Source organism: Homo sapiens, chromosome 2, assembly GCF_000001405.40.
Source record: "Homo sapiens chromosome 2, GRCh38.p14 Primary Assembly".
Taxonomy (NCBI): Eukaryota; Metazoa; Chordata; class Mammalia; order Primates; family Hominidae; genus Homo; species Homo sapiens.
In genome coordinates this window covers 58,925,910-58,946,990 of record NC_000002.12, presented here as the reverse complement: position 1 = coordinate 58,946,990, position 21,081 = coordinate 58,925,910, and the positions used below count along the sequence as shown (strand labels likewise).

At 37.8% G+C, this 21,081-nt stretch overlaps 2 long non-coding RNA genes across 2 annotated transcripts in view; both read right to left on the bottom strand.

Moving 5' to 3' along the window:
* Positions 1-21,081, bottom strand: part of LINC01122 (long intergenic non-protein coding RNA 1122) — a 543,014-nt gene that overhangs the window by 116,776 nt on the left and 405,157 nt on the right. The gene's annotated exons all lie outside the window — the stretch shown is intronic.
* Positions 14,825-21,075, bottom strand: LOC124907771 (uncharacterized). Its single transcript, XR_007086326.1, has 2 exons — positions 17,238-21,075; positions 14,825-16,355 (listed from the first exon to the last, which is right to left on the bottom strand). It is a non-coding gene; the product is annotated as an uncharacterized LOC124907771 (long non-coding RNA).

Sequence of the window (21,081 nt, the reverse complement as noted above, 5' to 3'; positions counted from 1 at the left end):
GTCTTTTGTAATTGTTTAAACTTTTATTAAAAATGTTTGGTCCTAGGCTCTGCAGATCAGTCACACAAAAGTGAGCAACACATCTGAATGGCAAATGATCCTGTGAAATGTCAGGCCCAGGAATAATTTTGGAGCTACAGTTGATTAAAAAATCGACAAAAATAAGTACTGCATAAAAGCAGAAAAACTTCTCATCCAGTTCTCAAAATTTTCTACACAATTTTTGAAGGCTCAGATTTAGTTTTTTTCCTTTATCTTTTAGTGCAAAGCCATGGGTCTCCTAAGAATCTATGTCTATTTTTATGGTGTGACTTTTTATTACAGGCACCTACCATGGAGGTTGTCCAAATACAGCTTTAGACCTAAGTGCTACAGAATGTAGCTGGGATTGCCGGGTGGGTTAATACTATCAGGACAGGCTCCTTAGAAGCTTGTCTTGAATACCCCATTTCTGCTAGAGGCCATCAGTTGATTCTTCCTAGCAAATACAGTGAGGTCACTGAGGTAGAAAAAGCTTCTGGTCCATCAGAATTCATCGAAACAGAAAATTCAAACTTTAGGTTCTGGGTCTTTGTTTCCACCAAGAAGCCCTTAAGTGAGCAACAAGAATGTTAACTTGACATTACTTCCAACCAAGAGGGAGTAAAAGTGACCACATTTAACTTCTGCCTGAAAAAATAAAAACCAGATCATTACAATGGTTTTCAAGACACTAGATAGCAGGCAACAAAGGACAGTAGTCCCTAAGGGATGTGAAACAAGTGAGGTGAACCCTACAATTGCCATAAAATATACTTTGAGAGTTTCTAGGCTGCGGTACAGGGATGAGGAACCCAGGCGGAGCACAGCCCAATCATTAGTTGAAGAGACCGAGCTGAGAGTATAGGGAGACAAAGGCAGCTGACAGTTCACAAGACAGTGCCAGAGAGAAGAGGGCTGCCCAGAGAAGGGACTTTGGAAATCTGCAGAGGCCCTCAGAGTACTTAAGCGGAGTAGTTATTAGCACAGGCCTGTGATGAAACTGCCTGAGGCCAGGGAAAGAAGTATCCAAAAGGATTAGAGAAAACAGTGCCAGGAGGCCAAAGAGGGCTGAGAAGAGTGTTCCTACTGGCAAGGAAACGTCATAATTCACAGGGCATTGTGAAGGGTACACAGGAGTTTCTTGCCTTACTAGTGGGAAACACCTAGCGCTAGACCAAACACTGCTCTGGACTCAGTTCAAAACCTTAAAAGTAAGACCCTCCAAAATTAAACCTACAGGTAACTTAGTTGTGTCCCAAACAAAAGACAAAAATATTTATATAAATGCAAAAATAATCAGCACCCAACAGGGTAAAATCACAGTTCCGAGATTACTAGACATGTAAAGAATCAAGAAGAGAAAAGGAAAAAGAAAAGAAAAAAGAAAAGACAACCAAAACCTTAAGGAGCAGAAAAATCAGTAATTAAAACCAACCCAAAATAGGCACAGATGTTACTGTCAGAAGATGAGGCCATTAGAACAATTGTTATAACTCCGTTCTATATATTCAAAAAGCTAAGAAAAGACATAAAGGATAAAAAAGATCAAAATCAAACTTCCAGAGAACTAACCAGGATGGGATTAACAGCATTATTAGTCACTGTAGAAGAAAAGATTAGTGAATTTGAAAACAGCAATAAAAACCATCCAAAATAAAAGAGCAGGCTGAGTGTAGGGGCTCATACTTACAATCCCAACACTTTGGGAGGCCAAGGTGGGAGGATTACTTGAGACCAAGAGTTTAAAAGCAGGCTGGGCAATGCAGTGAGACACCATCTCTACAAAAATAGAAATAAAAAATTAGCCAGTCATGGTGGAGCACACCTAGTCCTAGCTACACAGGAGGCTGAGGCAAGAAGATTGCTCGAGCCCAGGAGTTCCAGACAGCAATGAGCTATGATCACATCACTCTAATCCAGCCTGGGTGACAAAGTGAAACCCTCCCTATCTGTAAACAAAACAAAACAAAAACAAAAACAAAAGCAAAAGCAAAAAAATAAAAAGAACAAAACAATAATTTTAAAAAACATCAGTGAGCTGAGGGACAGACAGCTTAATGTTGCCTAATATACATGTAATTGGGATCCTATAAGGAGAGGATGGAAGTGGAGAAAAAATTTGAAGAAATTATGCCTAAAATGTTTTCAAATTTGATGAAAACTATAAACTCCAAATTCAAGAATCTCAATGAGCTCAAGTACAGGAAACATAAAGAAAAACTACCCCCAATTGATCAAACCTGGTGAAAAAACAAAGTTCTAAAAGTAGCCAAAGAAAGAGCCACAAGACACACAGAGGAAGACAGGTAAGAGTTACAGCATATTGCTCTTCAGAAACAGTGCAAAGGAGAAGCCAGTGGAGCAACACCTTTAAAGTACTGATAGAAAAAAAAAAAAAGTAACTATTAAACTAGAATTCCATACCAGGGAACATATTTTTCAAATGTAAAGATGAAATGAAAATTGGTTTCAGATGTATAAAATCCAATCCATATGATTGGATCATGAAGACAGATTTCCCTTTTGGTGTTATTTTCCTCATAGTGAGTGAGTTATCACAAGATGTAGTTGTTTAAAAGTGTGTAGCACTTCCCACCTCTCTCTCTTCCTCTTGCCCTGGCCATGTGAAGATGTGCCTGCTTCCCCCTCTCCTTCTGCCATGATTGGAATTTCCCTGAGGCCTCCCCAGCCATTCTTCCTGTACAGCCTGTGGAACTGTTAGCCAATTAAACTTCTTTTCTTTATAAATTACCCAGTATCAGGTATTTTTATAGCAGTGTGAAAATGAACACAAATAATACAAATAACCACCCAGAAAAGTTAAAAAAAAAAAAGAGTTAGAAAAAAGAAACAAATAGAAAACAGAAAGATAATAGACTTAGCTTTTTCCACACATGTCAACAATCATATTAAATAAAAATGGTTTAAACACTTTGTGTTAGTCCAATCTCACACTGCTATGAAGAAATGCCTGAGACTTGGTAATTTATAAAGGAAAGAGGTTTAATTGACTCACAGTTCCACATGGCTGGGGAAGCCTCAGAAAACTTACAATCATGGCAGAAGGGAAGCAGACACATCCTTCTTCATGTGGTGGCAGGAGAGAGAGAAGTAGAGAGGGAAGGGGAGAAAGACCTTATAAAACCACCAGATGTCATGAAACCTTACTATCATGAGAATAGCATGAGGAAACTGGTCCCATGATCTAATCACCTCCCATGAGGTACTGCCCCCAACATGTGGGGATTACAATTCAGATTACAATTCAAGATGAGATTTTTGGTAGGGACACAGCCAAATCATATCATTCCACCAATGGCCTCTCCCAAATCTCAGGTTCTCACATTTCAAAACACAATCATGCCTTTCCCACAGTCCCTCAAAGTCTTAACTCATTCTGAAATTAACCCCAAAGTCCAAATCCAAAGTCTCATTTGGACAAGGCAAGTCCATTCTTCCTATGAGTGTGTGAAACCAAAAGCAAGTTAGCTACTTCCTAGATACAATGAAGGTACAGGCATTGAGTAAATACACCCACTTAAAATGGGAGACATTGGCCAAAACAAAGGTGCTACAGGACCAATGCAAGTCCAAAATCCAGCAGGACAGTCATTAAGCCTCAAAGTTACAAAATGATCTTCTTTGACTCCATGTCCCACATTCAGGTCATGCTGATGCAAAAGTGGGCTCCCATGGCCTTGGGCAGCTCTGCCTCTGGGGCTTTGCAGGGTACAATCACCCTCCCAGCTGCTTTCATAGGCTGGCATTGAGTGTCTGTGGCTTTTCCAGGCACATGGTGCAAGCTGTCAGTGGATCTACCATTCTGGGGTGTGGAGGATGGTGGCCCTTTTCTCACAGCTCCACTAGGCAGTACCCCAGTGGGGATTCTGTGTGGGGCTCTGACCCCACATTTCCCTTCCCCACTGCCCTAACAGAGGTTCTCTATGAGGGCTCTGCCCCTGTAGCAAACTTCTGCCTGGATATCCAGGTGTTTCCATACATCCTCTGAAATCTAGGCGGAGGTTCCAAACCTCAGTTCTTGACTTCTGTTCACCCACAGGCCCAACACCATATGTAAGCCACTTAGGCTTGGGGCACCCTCTGTAACAATAGTCTGAGCTATACATTAGCTTCTTTTAGCCACAGCTGGAATGCAAGGCACCAAGTCCCAAGACTGCACAAAGCAGCAAGGCAGTGGACTCAGCCCATGAAACCATTTTTTCCTGTTAGGCCTCTGGGCTTCTGATGGGAGGGGCTGCTGTGAAGCCCTCTGACATGCCCCGGAGACATTTTCCCCATTGTATTGGCAATTAACATTTGGCTCCTCGGTACTTATGCAAATTTCTGCAGCCAGCTTCAGTTTCTCCTCGGAAAATGGGTTTTTCTTTTCTACTACATTGTCAGGCTGCAAATTTTCCAAACTTTTATGTTCTTTTGCCTCTTGAATGCTTTGGTGCTTAGAAATTTCTTCTGCCAGATACCCTAAATCATCTCTCTTAAGTTCAAAGTTCCACAGATCTCTACGGCAGGGGTAAAATGCTGCCAGCCTCTTTGCTAAAGTATAGCAAGAGTTACCTTTGCTCCAGTTCCCAAGAAGTTCCTCAGCTCTGTCTGAGCCTGGACTTTATTGTTCGTATCACTATCAGCATTTTGGTCAAAGCCATTCAACAAGTCTGTAGGAAGTTCCAAACTTTCCCACATCTTCCTGTCTTCTTCTGAGCCCTCCAAACTGTTCCAACCTATGTCTGTTACCCAGTTCCAAAGTTGCTTCCACATTTTCGGGTATCTTTACAGCAGTGCCCGACTCTCTGAAGTACCAGCTTACTCTATTAGTATGTTTTCACACTGCCATGAAGAAAATACCTAAGACTGGGTAATTTATAAAGGAAAGATTTTTAATTGACTCAGAGTTCCACATGGTTGTGGAGGCCTCAGGAAACTTACAATCATGGCAAGATGGAAAGCAGACACATCCTTCTTCACATGGTGGCAGGAGAGAGAAGTGCAGAGTGAAGTGGGGAAAAGCCCCTTATAAAATCATCAGATTTTGTGAGAACTCCACACACTATGATGAAAACAGCAATGGGGGAACCACCCCCATGATCTAATCACCTTCCATGAGGCCCCTCCCCCCAACATGTGGGGATTACAATTCAGATTACAATTCAAGATGATATTTTGGGTGGGGACACAGCCAAACCATATCACACTCCAATTAACAGGCAAAAATTCTCAAAAAATGATTAAAAAAAGAATGGCCTATATACCATTTACAAGAAGCACATTTTATACATAAAGAAACAAATACTTTAAAAGTATAGAAAAAGATGTTCCATTCTAATGATAACCAAAAGAAAGCTGGAGTGACTATATTAATATCAGACAAAGTAGACACCAAGGCAAAGACTATGAGCAGATGAGCAGTGGAAAAGAAGGTAATTTCATAATGATAAAAGGATTGGTACATAAAAATTCTAAATGTGTATATATTTAATAAAATAATTTCAAAATACATGAAACGAAACTGAGAGTTACATGGAGAAATAGAAAAATTCATAAATTTAATCTAGAAATCTAATATCTCTTTCTTAATAATTGATAGAACAAAAAACCAGTTAGGACATAGAGATTTTACAATGGTATCAACCAAATTAACTTAAGTAATACATATATATAGAACACTCCATCCTACAACCATTAGAAAATACATTCTGTCTTGAGCCCTGGAGGTTGAAGCTGCAGTGGGTTGTGATCACCCAACTGTACTTCAGCCTGGGTGACAGAGCAAGACCCTATCTCAAAAAACTCTACTTTTCAAATGCACTACAAACACCAAGATAGGCTAACTTCTGAGCCATAAAAATATGTCTCCATAAATTTAAAAGAATTTAAGTCTTAAAAAATATGTTTTCTAACTTCAAAGGAAGTTAAATAGGAAATCAAAAGAAATGAATTTCCCAAATATTTAGAAATTTTAACACATTTCTAATAAACCATAGGTTAAAGAAGAAATCAAAAGGGAAAGTAGAAAGTAATTTGAACAGAATGGAAATGAAAACACAGTGTATCAAAATTTGTGAATTCCAGTAAAGCAGTACTGGTGGTTGGGGAGGGAATTTACAACAGAAAATGCCTATATAAGAGAAGAAGAAAGGTCTTAAATTAATAAACTCAGCTTTTACCATAAGAAACAAAAGCAGCAGCCACACACAAAAAAAGGTAATTTAAAGTGAAGAGAAGAAAGGAAATAATAACTATCAGAGAAGAAATCAGTGAAATAGAAAATAGAAAAATGATTTTAAAAAATTAATAAAACCAGAAGCAGCTTCTTTGAAAAAAATCAATAAAATTGGTAAACTTACAGCCAGATTAATTAGTGAAAAGGGAGAGGAGATATAGATTACCAAATTCAGGCAATACAGAGGTGACATCATTACGATTTTCAGGATATTTAAAGGATAAGGGAATACTATATACAACCTTATGTCAATAAATTCAACATCTTAGATGAAATGAAAGAATTCCTTGAAGAAACAAACTACCAACACTCACTCAAGAAGAAATAAATAATCTGAGTAGCCCTATTACATATTTTTATTTATTTTAAAGTTTAAAACTTTCCCAGAAAGAAAACTCTAAAATCTAATGACTTTACTGGTGAATTCTTCCAAACATATAAGAAAATAATAATAGTGCCAATTTCACAGAAATTATTTTATAAAATCAGAGAAGAAGGGATAATTCCCACCTCATTCTATGAAACCAGCATTAGTCTGAAAGCAAAATCAAAAATAGGCATTACAAAAAAACTACTTATCAAATCCTTCATGGACATAGATGTAAGCATTTTCAAAAACATTTTAGAAAATACAATTTTGGCATGAACAGATTTTGCTTGATAAACCAAATATATCAAAGTTAATGAGACCACAGAGAGTGGGGGGCTATATCATGTTGTCCACTCCTTCAGTAAAAAGTTTCCTATTTTCACAGAGCCGAAAAAGCAGATGTTCTCCTTATTCACTAACTTGACTGGTATTTGAAGGTACAGAGTATTGTTCAGATAACAAATTCTGGAGTCACAGATGCCTGGGATTGAATTTTAGCTCCATCTCTTACTAGCTTTCTAACTTGGGAACATTACTTATCTTCCCTGTGCTTCAATTTTATCAGCCATAAAATAGAGATGAGAATATCTCTTTCCCATAGGCTTGTTACAAGGATTAAACAAGTTAATACTTGTAAAATGTTTAGAACAACTGAATGGCTGGGATATAGTAGGTGCTCACTTAGTCTGAGAGGGAGCAGCTGTGGAAGGAGGAGTAATCATATCATGCAAAGAGCCATGAAGGAGATCCCTGAACTCAGCACTAAAGAATGTGCTTGGTAAACACATCAGGGAGACAGCAAGGAAATGAACATACCACATAAAGTGACCAGCATAAACAAGCACTTAGCAGCTATAAAGGTTATTGGTGTTTTCCAGAAACTGAGTAAGCTAATAAGTATTAAGTATAGAATACATTTTTTTGGAATGTGGGGAAGGGGGAGTATGAGGAAAGGGCAAACCTACAGGAGGCATAAAAGCTGGAAACTGAGAACAGATAACGCAGAGCCTTGTGTGCCATGATAAAGCAGTGCAAGTTTATCCTAGTCAATGGAGGAAACCATCAAAGAATTCAACACAAGAATGTGTCATAGCCAGATCTGTATTTTTAAAGATAATTTTGGTAAAACTAAGGAAAATAGATCCAAAAGAAGGAAGCTAAAGGCCAGGGGACTGGCTAAGAACTGGTGACTGTATTTGTTTACCTACTGCTGCTATAACAAACTCCCACAAATTTTGTGACTTAAGACAGCACAAATTTATTAGCTTTCAGTTCTGCAGGCTAGAAGTCTGACACAGGTCTCACTAGGCTCAAACCAAGGTGTTGGCAGGGCTGCCTTTCTTCTGGAGGCTGTTGGGAGAATCCATTTCCTTGTCGTTTATTTATGGCCACTTTCTCCATCTTTAAAGCCAGCAACACTGGGTCAAGTCCTACTTAAATCAAATCATTCTCACTCCTCTTCTGTCCCCCTCTTCTACTCTTAAAGATCCCTGTCATTAAATTGGACCCACTGCCATAATCCATGATAATCTCCCTAAAGTCAGTTGATTAGCAACATTAAACCCATCTGCAATCTTAATTCCCCTTTGACATGTAATGTAACATATTCATAGGCTCTGGAGACTAGGACCTGGACACCTTTGGGGGGTCATTATTCTTACCTCAGAGGCTATTACAAAATCTCAGCTAAGAGATAATAAGGGCCTGAATCAAGGTGGTGACAGTAGAAATAAACAGGAAGGGATATACAAGAGAGTGCTTTTAGATGCTTAATTAAAGAGTATCAGCCGGGTGCAACGGCTCATGCCTGTAATCCCAGCACTTGGGGAGGTCAGGAAAGAAGATTACTTGAATCCAGAAATTTGAGGTGGCAGTGAGCTATGATCATGCCACTGCACTATAGCCTGGGTGACAGAGCAAGACCCTGTCTCAAACACAAATAATAAAAATATAGAAGAATATAGTGATTCATTTGGATGGCTTTAGAGTGTATAAAAAACATGAGGAAGAATAGGAAATTAAGGATGTCTCCTACTTAAATTTGAACAGTTTGATGAAATATGATGCCACTAACTTATGAGATGAGTGTCTAATATGTAAATATAAAGTTCTCTTAGAATATTGTGGGTGAGATGCCCAAAAGGTTGTTGGAAATTCAGTCTGAAGCTCAGGAAAGCAGTGATGCTGATAACTAAGATTTGAGTATTGTCAAGTAATTTAATGTCTCCAACAGAGTAGTTTGCTGTAAGTTACCAAGCACATTAAAGACAAACACACACATGCCCACTGAATATTTAGCAGTTCTTGTTGGTGCTAGCTAATATTTAACATGAGAAAATAAGACATATCCAAATAATAAAACGTAAATGATCAATCATATCTGAAGCTGATCTTCACTGGTAGCTCATAAGTAGAGCAAAGACAAGTCTAATGGTGAACCCCTACAGAGGTGGCATCCCCAAGCCCAAGGAATGTGGAAATTGTAATAATGATACGTTCTGCCCTAAACAAAAATGGGACACTGGATGCAGCTCTTGACTTTCTAGCCCCATGTTTGCATGTGCTATAGTTTGAATATGCTATGGTTTTGTGTCCCTCCAAAATCGATGTTGAAACTTAATCCTCAATGCAACAGTATTAAGAGGTGAGGACTTTAGGAGGTGATTAGGTCATGAGGCTCCTCCCTCGTGAATGGGATTAAGGGCTTTATTAAAGAGGCTTCACAGAGTATTTGGTCCCTTTTTACCCCTCTGTTCTACCATATGAGGATGCAGTGTTCAAGGTGCCATCTTGGAAGCAGACAGCAGCCCTTGCCAGAAACCGAACTTGCCAGAATCTTGGATCTTGGACTTCCCCGACCCCAGAACTGTGAGAAAATAAATATTTCTCTTCTTTATAAAATACCCAGCCTTAGGGTATTTTATAGCAGCACAAATGGACAAAGACATGTTTTGTCTCTCACAGGAACACCTATGGAAATATATATTTATCCCACTAGAAATCAGGTTTCTATTTAAAATTTAGGGGGGATCTCCCCACTTGTGAGAAGCTCCAACTATATATCTGTATCTATATCAATCTTAAACAGGCATTTTTTAGTTCACTAGTGCTGAAAACCCAAGTGGTATCATGATGTTAATATGCCTACAAAAGATGGTAATTTAAAAATATTTTCTTATAGAAAAGACAAGACCTGAGGTATTATACAGGTCTATTAATTCCCAGCAATGCAAATGATGCACAGTCCAAACCAGGAGTAATAAAATGCTCTGCAACAAAAAAACTGAGAATTCCATATATATGCCTAGGGGGAGGGTAGGTGGGAAGGCAGGGTGGAAATGTCCATTTAAATATAGAACCTTGATTAATTTTCTTCTATAGAGGAACCATAATAACCAAAAACAAGCTCACGGATGTAGTGGTGGTGACATATGAGTTGGAACATGTGGCGTGTACAAAGGTGAGTAACAAAAGTGAAGCAAACGAGCAAAAATATATCAAACAAAAGTGAAGCAAACGAGCAAAAATATATCAAAAGTGACTAAAATGATGTGTTTTCATTGTTAAGAGATGTAGTGAAATTCTCATCTGGTGAATTCCAGTTCAGCATTTCCTTGATATATCTTTTATAATTTTCACTCTAATTATAATGAAAATCATTTTTCAATGTAATTTTGCAATAAAAATGTTTCTTTATTTCTCATTACATAAGAACATGATCTTGTACACTTACTGAGCAGGCTTACAATGTGCACACTGTATCTTCTCTTTCTTACCATTTAATCTCTTCATAGTCTACAGATGTCAAGAGGTTCAGATTAAGCTTGTTAAAGATCTGCTTCACTCGAACTCACTGATGATTATTTATTTAGCAGTTTTATGTAACCCTGTCATTGATAAGCACTCTATTAATTTGCCGAGGGACAAATCAACACTAGTTATTTTTCTACCGGCTATTAGACTCGGTGCTGCTGTTTGTTACAAACCACTTGCCAGTTAATTATAAATTATGGGTCCTCTTTGCCTATATTAATTGATATCTCCTTTGCCTTTGTAGTACTAGACAAATAAATTGAAGGCAAGATTTATTAGGCAGTGTATGTCTTGTGTCTCTTGATTAGTATTCTTTACTTTTTTAACATTTATACTTGTTTATACAGATTTGACAGACCAAAACATTAGAGAAATGATCTTTAGGGTGTTTTGTAGCGAAAAAAGAAAGAGAGAGAGAGGAGAGATAGAAAGAGATTTAATAGGCTTCCTACAAATTTATTTCAAATGACCTACAATTCATTGTAAGCAATTCCTAAAATGCCTTTTGACTTTGTGCTATGGACTGGTGACGGCAGCCTCCCAATTATGCAAAATCTAATATTCAAGTGGTTTTAAAGTCTGTGCATCCAGTTGCTATATGATAAATAAATATGATATGTATATAACAAAACCTATATCACATTACACAAGCAAAAGCTAAATGTCTTTTCTTTGCCTTATTGCTTATTTGCATCTAATTACATGTTCTTTTGCATACATACAGAGCCCTTTTTTCCTTTTGTCATTTAAACAATCTGTAGATGTAACACATAGTGACAAAACAATAAACTATAGCCATTTTAAATTTTCAGAAGCATAAGTTACAGATGGCACTTGCCATAGGACATGAACCTTTCCATTTGCAGTCCACAGAGAAGCAGGAATCAGAATTTAGGCCAGGTAGAAATAAAAAATATATTTTACAAAAGAAAGTCTTAATTCATTTGCTCCCTGGACAGTATCAAACATTGAAGAATTGCAAATTTAATGGGAAGGTTTACCCCAGAGGGTCATTGTACTATATTCCGATTTCAAAGGGCGTCAGGACCTAGCTATCTGCCAAAAGATCTGGGTCTCTGAAATCCTAATTTTGTACATAATTTCTCCATTTAATTGACAGTTTTGACCCAAGTTGCTTTTTCAGTATCTTGGATTCTGAGTAATTCCCCATCTGACATAAATCCAGCAAATGGACAGCAAGCCCATTGGAGTAGGCTGGATGTTTTTCCGTTAGTTCTAATGGGAAAAGAAAAACATACTGGTCAAGCATATCTATTCCTATTTTCAATTCACATATAATTGAATCTCTTCTCCAGCATTTTCATGTTTGAAGATTTAAAGACTCTCCAATTAGAATTTAGAGAAAGCCTTTAGAGTAAAATTAGTTAGCTCATTCAGAAAACATGCACTCTGCTAATGTGCTGGGAAACTGACCTTGAGCCACTTTTTAATAACGAGATTCCAAGGATCATCTTTTCCTATGTACTATGCTACCTTTTGTTGGCTGTTTCTGGGCACACCTCCCAATGGATGTCATGAGCGACAGAATTTCCTGATAGCCTTGATTCATTTGATTATTCAGAAAACATGCTACTAATCATCCTTCACCAATTTGTTATATTATCTGTAGATCTTCCACCTTACTCTTTCTACCATTTACTGTTTCACCACTTAAAACCTCTGTCCCCCATGGCTAAATAACATCGGAGGGAAGTAAGATTTAAGTTATTATTTACAACTCAAAACTAATGTGATTAGCAGGGGATTGGAGTTGACTCTAACCTCTCAAATACATCATTTTTGATTATTCACATTTTAGAAATTCACACTGCATTTGAACCCAATTACATAGTTAATCTGCTGCTTGCTAAATTACACTGTACATTTTTTAATGCCTCATACTATTTTACCCTAACCCAGTGGCTTTCAAATGGGGACAGTTTTACTCCCCAGGGAACATTTGGCAATATCCCCAGACGTTTGTCATGTTACAAATGGGGGAGGGGAATGAACTGCTACTGGCAGCTAGTGAGTAGAGGATGGAGATAATACTAAACACCCTACAATGCACAGGACAGCCCTCCAATAACAAAGAATTATGGGTCCCAAATATCTATCGTGATGGTCTCAGAAATCTTGCTATAACCCCTCAAAATAAACACTAACTTTCTTCCTTGAAGTGGCATCAGTAAGTAGAACAAGAACTCTGGGGCAGAAAAATTAGAAACCTAATCATGACTACGGTTTCTAGTATTTGGTGATCCACAGAGGTTGTCATATCTGTTCATTAATATAGAGGCTAACTTGAACTGCTCAGACAAAATGTGTACACTTGGGGACTGAAATGAACCTTCTGTGAATCTTGCTATGTGTTACCTCATGAAAACATTATTAGAAATGCACTCAAGCAATGTAATTCAATTCTATTCAACTCAAGATTGAATTAGGACTTCTGGGTTGGTCAATGCAGGGAAAACTATGAGTTGGATATGTCACTGAGGGAACTTGCTCATGGGGCAATAGGCAGAAGAGGAAGCACGTGTGGTTAAAAGGACAACAAGTAGATTTTAGTGTACCTGCGACAATAAGAAGATTTACTAACCTGAGATTATGAGTCTTTTTATTCAACAATTGTTTACTGACATCCAGTGGGTATATATAATATTTGTCTTCCAACTGCTATCTTACTATCACTAAAGTATTTTTAATATATAATTACAAACAATGATATATATGTAATATATGTAAATCCACATATTCAATATTAAACATAATTTCTCATTTTTAAATATAAATAGATGCTCTATTATTGTCAAATATCACATAATGTCATCATATTATGGAATATGAAATTTCCATACCTTCAATGTGCATACCTCACTTTGGAAACTGCTGCACAAGGAGATATGAATTTAATTCTTAATTAAATTTGCACATCCACCACTAGATGATACTCTTCTTGAGAACAGCAATGTTATCTTTGTTTCCTTTTTCTTTATATTGCTAGCGCTCAGAACAAAATGGGAACTTAAAACATGTTTTGTTTAATGAACAAATGTTGGCCTATAATGAGCTGATGATCCAGTAAGAGGGAATACAATAAGTGCATATATAACTATGCTACATGGCAGAATTATAATGTAGTGGCTTTAAACAAAAAAGCAAATTTGCCTCTCTCATAAATTTTCTGGAGATCCACACCAAAGCTTGGCCAAGGACCCCACAAATATTCCTTTTATTAATATTTCTCATTCTTAGGTGGTCCTTGGGTTATGACATTTCTTCTTGCATAAGAGTGCTGAATTAAGCTTTATAAGGCCCCATTAAGCTGCTTCCATATTACATATAAAGCTAATGTGGGACCCTACTGTATTTCTAGATCCCTTCAGGATTGAGATGAAACCAGCCAACATCATCCAATTAGGAACCACTTCAAACCCTCTCCCTCCAAAATGAGTTTAATTCTCTATTTAAGACAGGTAAAGTTCTTCGTCTTTTTTCCTCTTAAACTAACACTTCCCAGTCAGTCTGTAACTATGATTAACATATCACGTGATAAACTTATACTGCCAACATTTTGACCACCATTTTAGCACTTTATTTGGGAAAATCTCTGTGTGTCCTTTGGCACTGTTTTGCCTGCTGGAGTTTATAAACAAGCAGACAAGGCTAGAAGGTGAGTATGATCTCACTTTAGATGAGCAGGGAATTTTCTGCACGGTAATAAAATAGTCCTCACCACCCCACCCCTGCAACAGAATAATTTTAATGACTTATACATTGGTTTAATCCTCAAATGTTTTTGTAATATGTAATCTCCACACACAATGTTAATATTAAAGGGAATTTGAGTAATACTTGAATAATTAGTCTTGTATTAACTGAAAATGAGTTAATGGAATAACCCTTTACTAATGCAGGCATTAGCTTTTTCACCTTGGAGGACCAAGCTCATTCTATGCCACATTCCCTTGTTGACTTAGTTTTGTAATATTCATTGAGCACCTATCTATGTTCATTCAGTTGAGATCTCTTAAATTCTGCCATTCGTGGTGAAAATCACTTCCTAAAGGTATCTGAACCCACAAGTATTGTCCAGCCAAGGCGATTTCAGATAAACTCTCTCTCTTATGGATAGTTTGCTGAATAGGTCTATCTACAATAGAACTGTCAAATTGCCTCACCAAAAATTAACTGGGCAAGATCTGGTTATTTATTTCACACACATTTACATGAATTAAATGCATATCATATAACACATGGCACATAACGACCCTTATAGCGGAGATATTATTATCTCTGCCTTAAATGTGAGGAAATTAAGAAATGAGAGGTTAAACATCTTACCATAGTAGGTCACACGATACACGAAGTAGCAGGTATTCTAAGAAGCAGAATCTGCATTTATTTAGAGGTAAGCATAACACTAAATTTATTATTACATAAAAAATCAGTCCACTTTAAAAGCCACTGTACATCTGATGGGACTTTGGGGTTTGATTGCAGAATTCTCTGCAATAGGGTTGTTTGGGATGTAATTAACATGACAAACAAGGGAAAGACACAAGTTTAGCAAAAAGCTCACTTTGAGTGGATAAATTTCTCTTTTTCCTTTTTTTAAACGAGAAAGGCTGGATAAAAGGCAGATGAAATAACTGCTGACTGAGTGGAGCTCTTGAGCTAAGGACTTGTACTGTGAAAATTCTACTTTGTCTAGCAAACACTATCAAACAGAAACCTTGAAAAGAGAACATTTATGTTTCTCATTTTCTTAAAAAAAAAATCAGCTCTAACCTCATGACTTCCCTGACAACGCTAAAAGTCATAGGTGGTAGGAGGAATATAGAAGCTAGAAGCAAGGCTTCTACTCCTTGAACAGTCTCTCATTCCCAGCATCTTAGTTTAGCTATGGAGGCTGAGTGAATGCACAGACAACACAAACTGAGGTGTCTTTAGGCAGTCCGTTCAGATGAGTAACTCAGATCCTCTGCACAAGCCCCTCCCAGGGTAAAAGTCAGGAATTTCAGGTGGCAGTCCCCCAAAACAAAGGCAGATAGAACAGGTGACTATATACAAAGACCATGATTTTTCAATCACAGCCACATCTAAACGAAAAAGTCAAATACAGTGATTGGTATTAATATGATTTGAACAGAATCGTCATTCCAATTGCTCCAAAGGTGCTGTGGTTTAGTGGTGGAGTTTTGTGGTGGGCTTTGGAGTACAACCGAACATTCTTCAAATGCTAACTCTGCAATCTACTGCCATATACATTATTTTACCTCTCAGAGTGACTGCTTTTCTTCTTGTAAAATAAATGTAATTCTTATCTCTTGGATTTGAGAGGATTTAATGAGACTACACAGTAACACATTACTTGGCATATAGTGGATGATGAAAAAATGTGAATTTTATTATTGTGTTAAAAATGTGAATTTTCAGATCCTCCAATAAGTAGATGCCAAGATGAGATTCAATGTGCAAGAAATTTATTAGAGGATATGCCTGTGAAAGAAAATGAGGAGGAGGGCAGGAGAGGCTGGTGGAGCTTTCAGGCCATGATGCAAGTCCGACCCTAGGTGAAGGAGAGAAAGAGGGAAGGGTGGAGGAACCCTAAATTGCCATGCATTTCTAAGGAAAGTCTGTCAAGGCCATCAAGCAGTCCTAGAGCCAAATTCGCCCATCGGAGGATCCTGCATCTCCAGAAATAGGCCTGCCTCAACAAAGATGCCAGGCTTATTCACAGGCTGGGAGCAGCCCGTGGGAAGCATAGACTTGCACTGTGATGAATTTCCAAGGCAGCAGCTGAAACCCTGGGTCACTCTTGTTCCTTGCAGTCAGAGAGGCATGTTCTTGTGGTCACCACCAGTATTATTCAATGCAGATTCTTTGGCAAACCATGTGTTATTGCTTCTGAAAAGGCAAAAGAGGGCAGAGAGAGAGAGTGCATGCGCATACGAGCACAATAGTACACATAGATTAGGAATACAAAGATACAGTCTGGGCATCTTTTAGGTTATATATTTGTTTTAAAAATGGAAATGAAGTCATATGGATGCAAAAGGATTCCATATGAAATTCTAAGATGATTCTTGTGATTAAAAGCAAGTTATAAAAATACACAACTTTTAAAAACTACTTTTAATAAATCTTTTCCTATTTAGAGCTGACATTCATGAACAATTGATCATAGGTTTCCTTAAAATTTACTATTTTTCTTTTCTTCTTCTTTTTCTTTCAGTATACACAATTAAGAGGTTTTTGGCTTCTTTTTGGTCTTGTACTTGTTAGAGAATCCGAGGAAAACCACTGACCTTCTTCGTCTCTAAAATGTACATATATCCATACACATTAAAGGGTACAATTCCAAAGAGTTTATGGGCCCTTTAAGGCCCATCAAAGAAACAGTGCTTACATTTATAAAGCTATTAACCTACATGATTTTAAACTATTTTATAATTTTTGGACTACATACTTCTGTGGATTAAGATAAACAACCAGTTATTGCTATCGAGACCTCTGGGTTTTTAAATTCACAATCTCAGTGCACACTAAGGCCTCATTCATCCAAGCTAACCTGAATGGGGAGAGTCTATGTGGCTGCACATTTAAATACATAAATAAAATGCGTATTTGTGTGAGAAGTTTCTTCTTATTCCTTCTCTTCTGCATATGATATGTCCAGTTTGGGACAGAGGTGCACATGCTTAAGTCAATCTGATTATGCATTAGGTCCTTACTTTTAACATTTTTAAATTGACCAGTTGTAGGTGTAGCCCTGTGAGTGTCTGTTACCTCACATTTGGCTTTCTCTTCCTTAGTGAATGTGTATGTTTTAGGCTCTCTTCTCCTCTTAGTAGATGGGCATGTTCCCTCTTGCTTTTCGTAGCTCATCAATGTATCAACCTTTCCAAGTGAAACGATAAATTAGAGAGACAAACTGTGAAAAAAAAGGGACAGCTCTCATAAAAATGTGGTCACATGCTGAATTCACTTGAGCCTGTATTCTCAGGCAGAAGCTATGTGAAATACAACGTTCATCACATAACTGGTGCTGGACCCACACAATACCTGTGCGCAATGGGGTGAATTCATTATGTCTCAGGAAACTGACTCTTTCTCTAGCAATGGATGTCTTCAATTACTCAGTCTCCAAAGTGCCTGCCCAGCCTCGCAGTCTTAACTCTCTATTTCCTTTCTTTTGGGGGTTGCAGCCAACACTTCAACCTGGCAGATTTTTCTCTAGTTTAAAGAACATGGTAAATGACAGAGGTCTGGAATAATGTATTTCCTCCAAAGCTGGTGACCAATTAGTTGCTTGCCATGGACTGTCATTTCACTGCTCTGAGTGCTGTGTTCTTGTAGCTTGGTGATAGACACACTGTTTATTTTCCACTTTGCAGTCTTTGCCAGTACTCCAAGTCCCACACAGCTGCCTTGATGCTGCTCTCCTGGATAGCTCATGACAAGGAAAAGATAACATGTATGTGTGGCAAAATGGCAACCCTGAGCAAACTTATCTAGGGTGCAAAGCAAAGAGAATAGTGATTTTACCACCTCACCTTTTTATTTTAATGCTTTTCAATGAAATCGTGGGAAATGCCAAGTCCATGAGGTTAATGCTCAGACATAAGTACAGTGGCTAAAGACTTTGTGACGGTTATTAAGCTGTTGACAGTATGAGAATCAGACACATTCACCACTGGTTCAGTAATTGTCTTTCATCTAGGAGCAACTTCCCTTCTCCCCCCACCCAACTTTTATGATTCATCATATTTATTTTTTGTTTCCTCAAGCAACATCTTTTATTAGTTGCACACTCACTGCAGAAATTTAATTTCTGCAAGAGAACAACAAAGCAGTTGATTATTATTATTGAGAATCTGGTACAACATCGAGTGAAATAAAATCTATAAGGCATTAAAATGACAGATTAGGCGAGAGCTGTATTCATTTACAAGTGTTAGAACATCATGCTAATGCCTCACAAGCACAACATAAAATGAAAATCAACTCTTTCATGCTGCTTTACGAACAAACGCTGCGAAGCTCCCAGGAACACAAGCCAGAGCCTCCGTTAAAGAGGCAATGTCCTTTTGTAGTTTGCTCATAAGTTCATCCTTGACAAACACAAATAAAAACACTCCTCTCTTATGCACAGCCAGAAGTGCTCCCTGCTTATCCCTTGGTCATCCCAAACTAAACACTGCTAATCCCAGTAAGATTTAAAGCATTCATATGCACCTCATTGTTTTTTAATGGAGAGTAACACTTCACTTATTAGGCAACTTCTATTCTTTATATCCTACCTGGAAACCAAAGAGAAAGTGGAAAAAAGGGGCCTGAGAATCAGCAATTCAGGGTTATTATTCCACAACATCAAGCCCCCATAATTTATATGTACTCTAATCATTCAGGGCCTATTAACTCTTACTTCACACGAAATACTAATGCTTTTATATCGTGAGCTGCAGCTCAATGCAGATAAGAAGCAAATTATGAGAATGCTAGAGATCATCAGGCTAAAACCTCTAAACACTAGACTGGCTATTCCGGTAAGAAAAGAGCCGCAAAAATACAATGGACAGAATGTCTCAAAGAATCTTCAAGGTGTTCAGAGAACAGAGCAAATAAATTCTGTTTATAGTATTAACACAAGCCTTCCAAAAAGGACTAAATGAGTTCCATATTCTCTTTCTTTCCTGAAAGAGAAGTATGTAAAACAGTTCAAAGGAAAGTCCATCAAAATTGTTAAAATACTTAAAAGGTAAGTTTTTAAGTAAGGAAGACAAAATTTTACATATGCAGATCAATTGATTTTCCAATAATATTGAATAAAAATGGATTGCTCATATATTTTCTATATATGCATATATATATGTATATTTGGGAATACATCTAATGTGCTTTACTATGTATTATTGATTATATGTGTAATTATTCATAGGCTAAACAAATAACATAATCTACTTGTGAACTTTTAAAGATTCATCTCAGATTCATTTACTATTTAATTCTCAGAAAGCAACTTCAGATGTCAGAGAATTTTATCCTGGAAAAGAGAATATCAAAAAGTTTCACTTCTGGGGTTCTACCATGGGTGGCAATTAAATAATGAGAATCATTGAAGTGACCCTATAAAATATCTCCTCCTAAGACAGTAGACAGAAGTGGCTAACACAGTAGAGGGTATGCAAACTCTCATCAACAATATGTCAAATATCAATTTGCATGCTACACCCATTCCTCAGGTGGTGCCAATGAGATATGCTGACATCTGTGTGTCACACATAACTCCTAGAGCAGGGGTCCCCAATCCTCAGGCTGCAGACTGGTACCTGTCCATGGCCTGTTAGGAACTGGGCCGCACAGCCAGAGGTGAGTGGCAGGCGAGCCAGAATTACTGTGAGCTCTGCCACCTGTCAGATCAGCAGTGGCATTAAATTCTCATAGGAGCATGAACCCCTATTGTGAACTGCACATGTGAAGAATCTAGGTTGTGTGATCCTTATGATAATCTAACTAATGCCTAATGACATGAGGTAGAACAGTTTCATTCCAAAACCATCCTACCACTCCCTCATCTCTGGTCCATGAAAAAATTGCCTTCCATGAAACTGGTCCCTGGTGCCAAAAGGGTTGGGGATTGCTGTCCTAGAGCATATATGACATTTCCATCCACTCTGTTTCTCTTCAAGAAAGCATGCAGGAATATTAACAAATGGGAATAAAAATTTGACTTGCTACAATTTATTAAAAACCGAGAAAAATAAGTCATGGGAGAATCGTGCTATATTTGTTATCCATAACAAATTTCTAATGACACAGCTTGGGTATTGAGGTGGGGGAGGGCTGATAGGGAGGAAGGAGAATGTGGGTGGAGCAGGAGGTCTTCCACTCCTAGCTGTGTCCGCTTGAGCAACATAGTTTCACTTCTAAGGACTATAGGATGGGTAATGAAGGAACTGTGATAGAGTTCCTGCCTTAGACGTCTCACAAAGTGTTGTGAAAGTTAATTGCAATCATATGATGTAGGAAAGGTACCGTAAAAACATAAGATGGTATTCACGTCAAATACAGGACCCTGATTTTCCATAGTCGTTGTATCAAAATTTCTTCTCTTACAGGCTTGTAATTTCCAGAATTCCAACAAACCCCTCTCACTTTGAAGATAAGTATGAAATCGTTTACGCCTTGTACCATACATAAGTGTCCTTGGAATTAATGATGCAATCTACCCTACATGATGAGGCAAAGAATGAACTGGCAAATAATCATTGAATCATGGATTTTACAGCCAGAATACAAGTCTGACAGACATGAGCTAAAATGAAATGAGTGAAAATGTGAAGGAACATCAATATGGGTGGTACAAAGGGATCTCAGGCATATGGTTGCACCTAAGTTGTAATAAAGAAGCAACCATCCCCTGAGGTGGGAGGAAAAAAAAAAGAAAGAAAGTGAAAACACATGAATTTGAGTTCTGGCCTTGTCCCCACTGACTGGCTTCTAATTTCTTGAACTTCATCCAGGCTGTGTGTCCAACAGACCACATGGTGATTGCTAAATTGCTCAATGACCACAAGCTACAACCATGGGGAAAATATTCATGAAAATTAACATCCCATTTAATACTCAC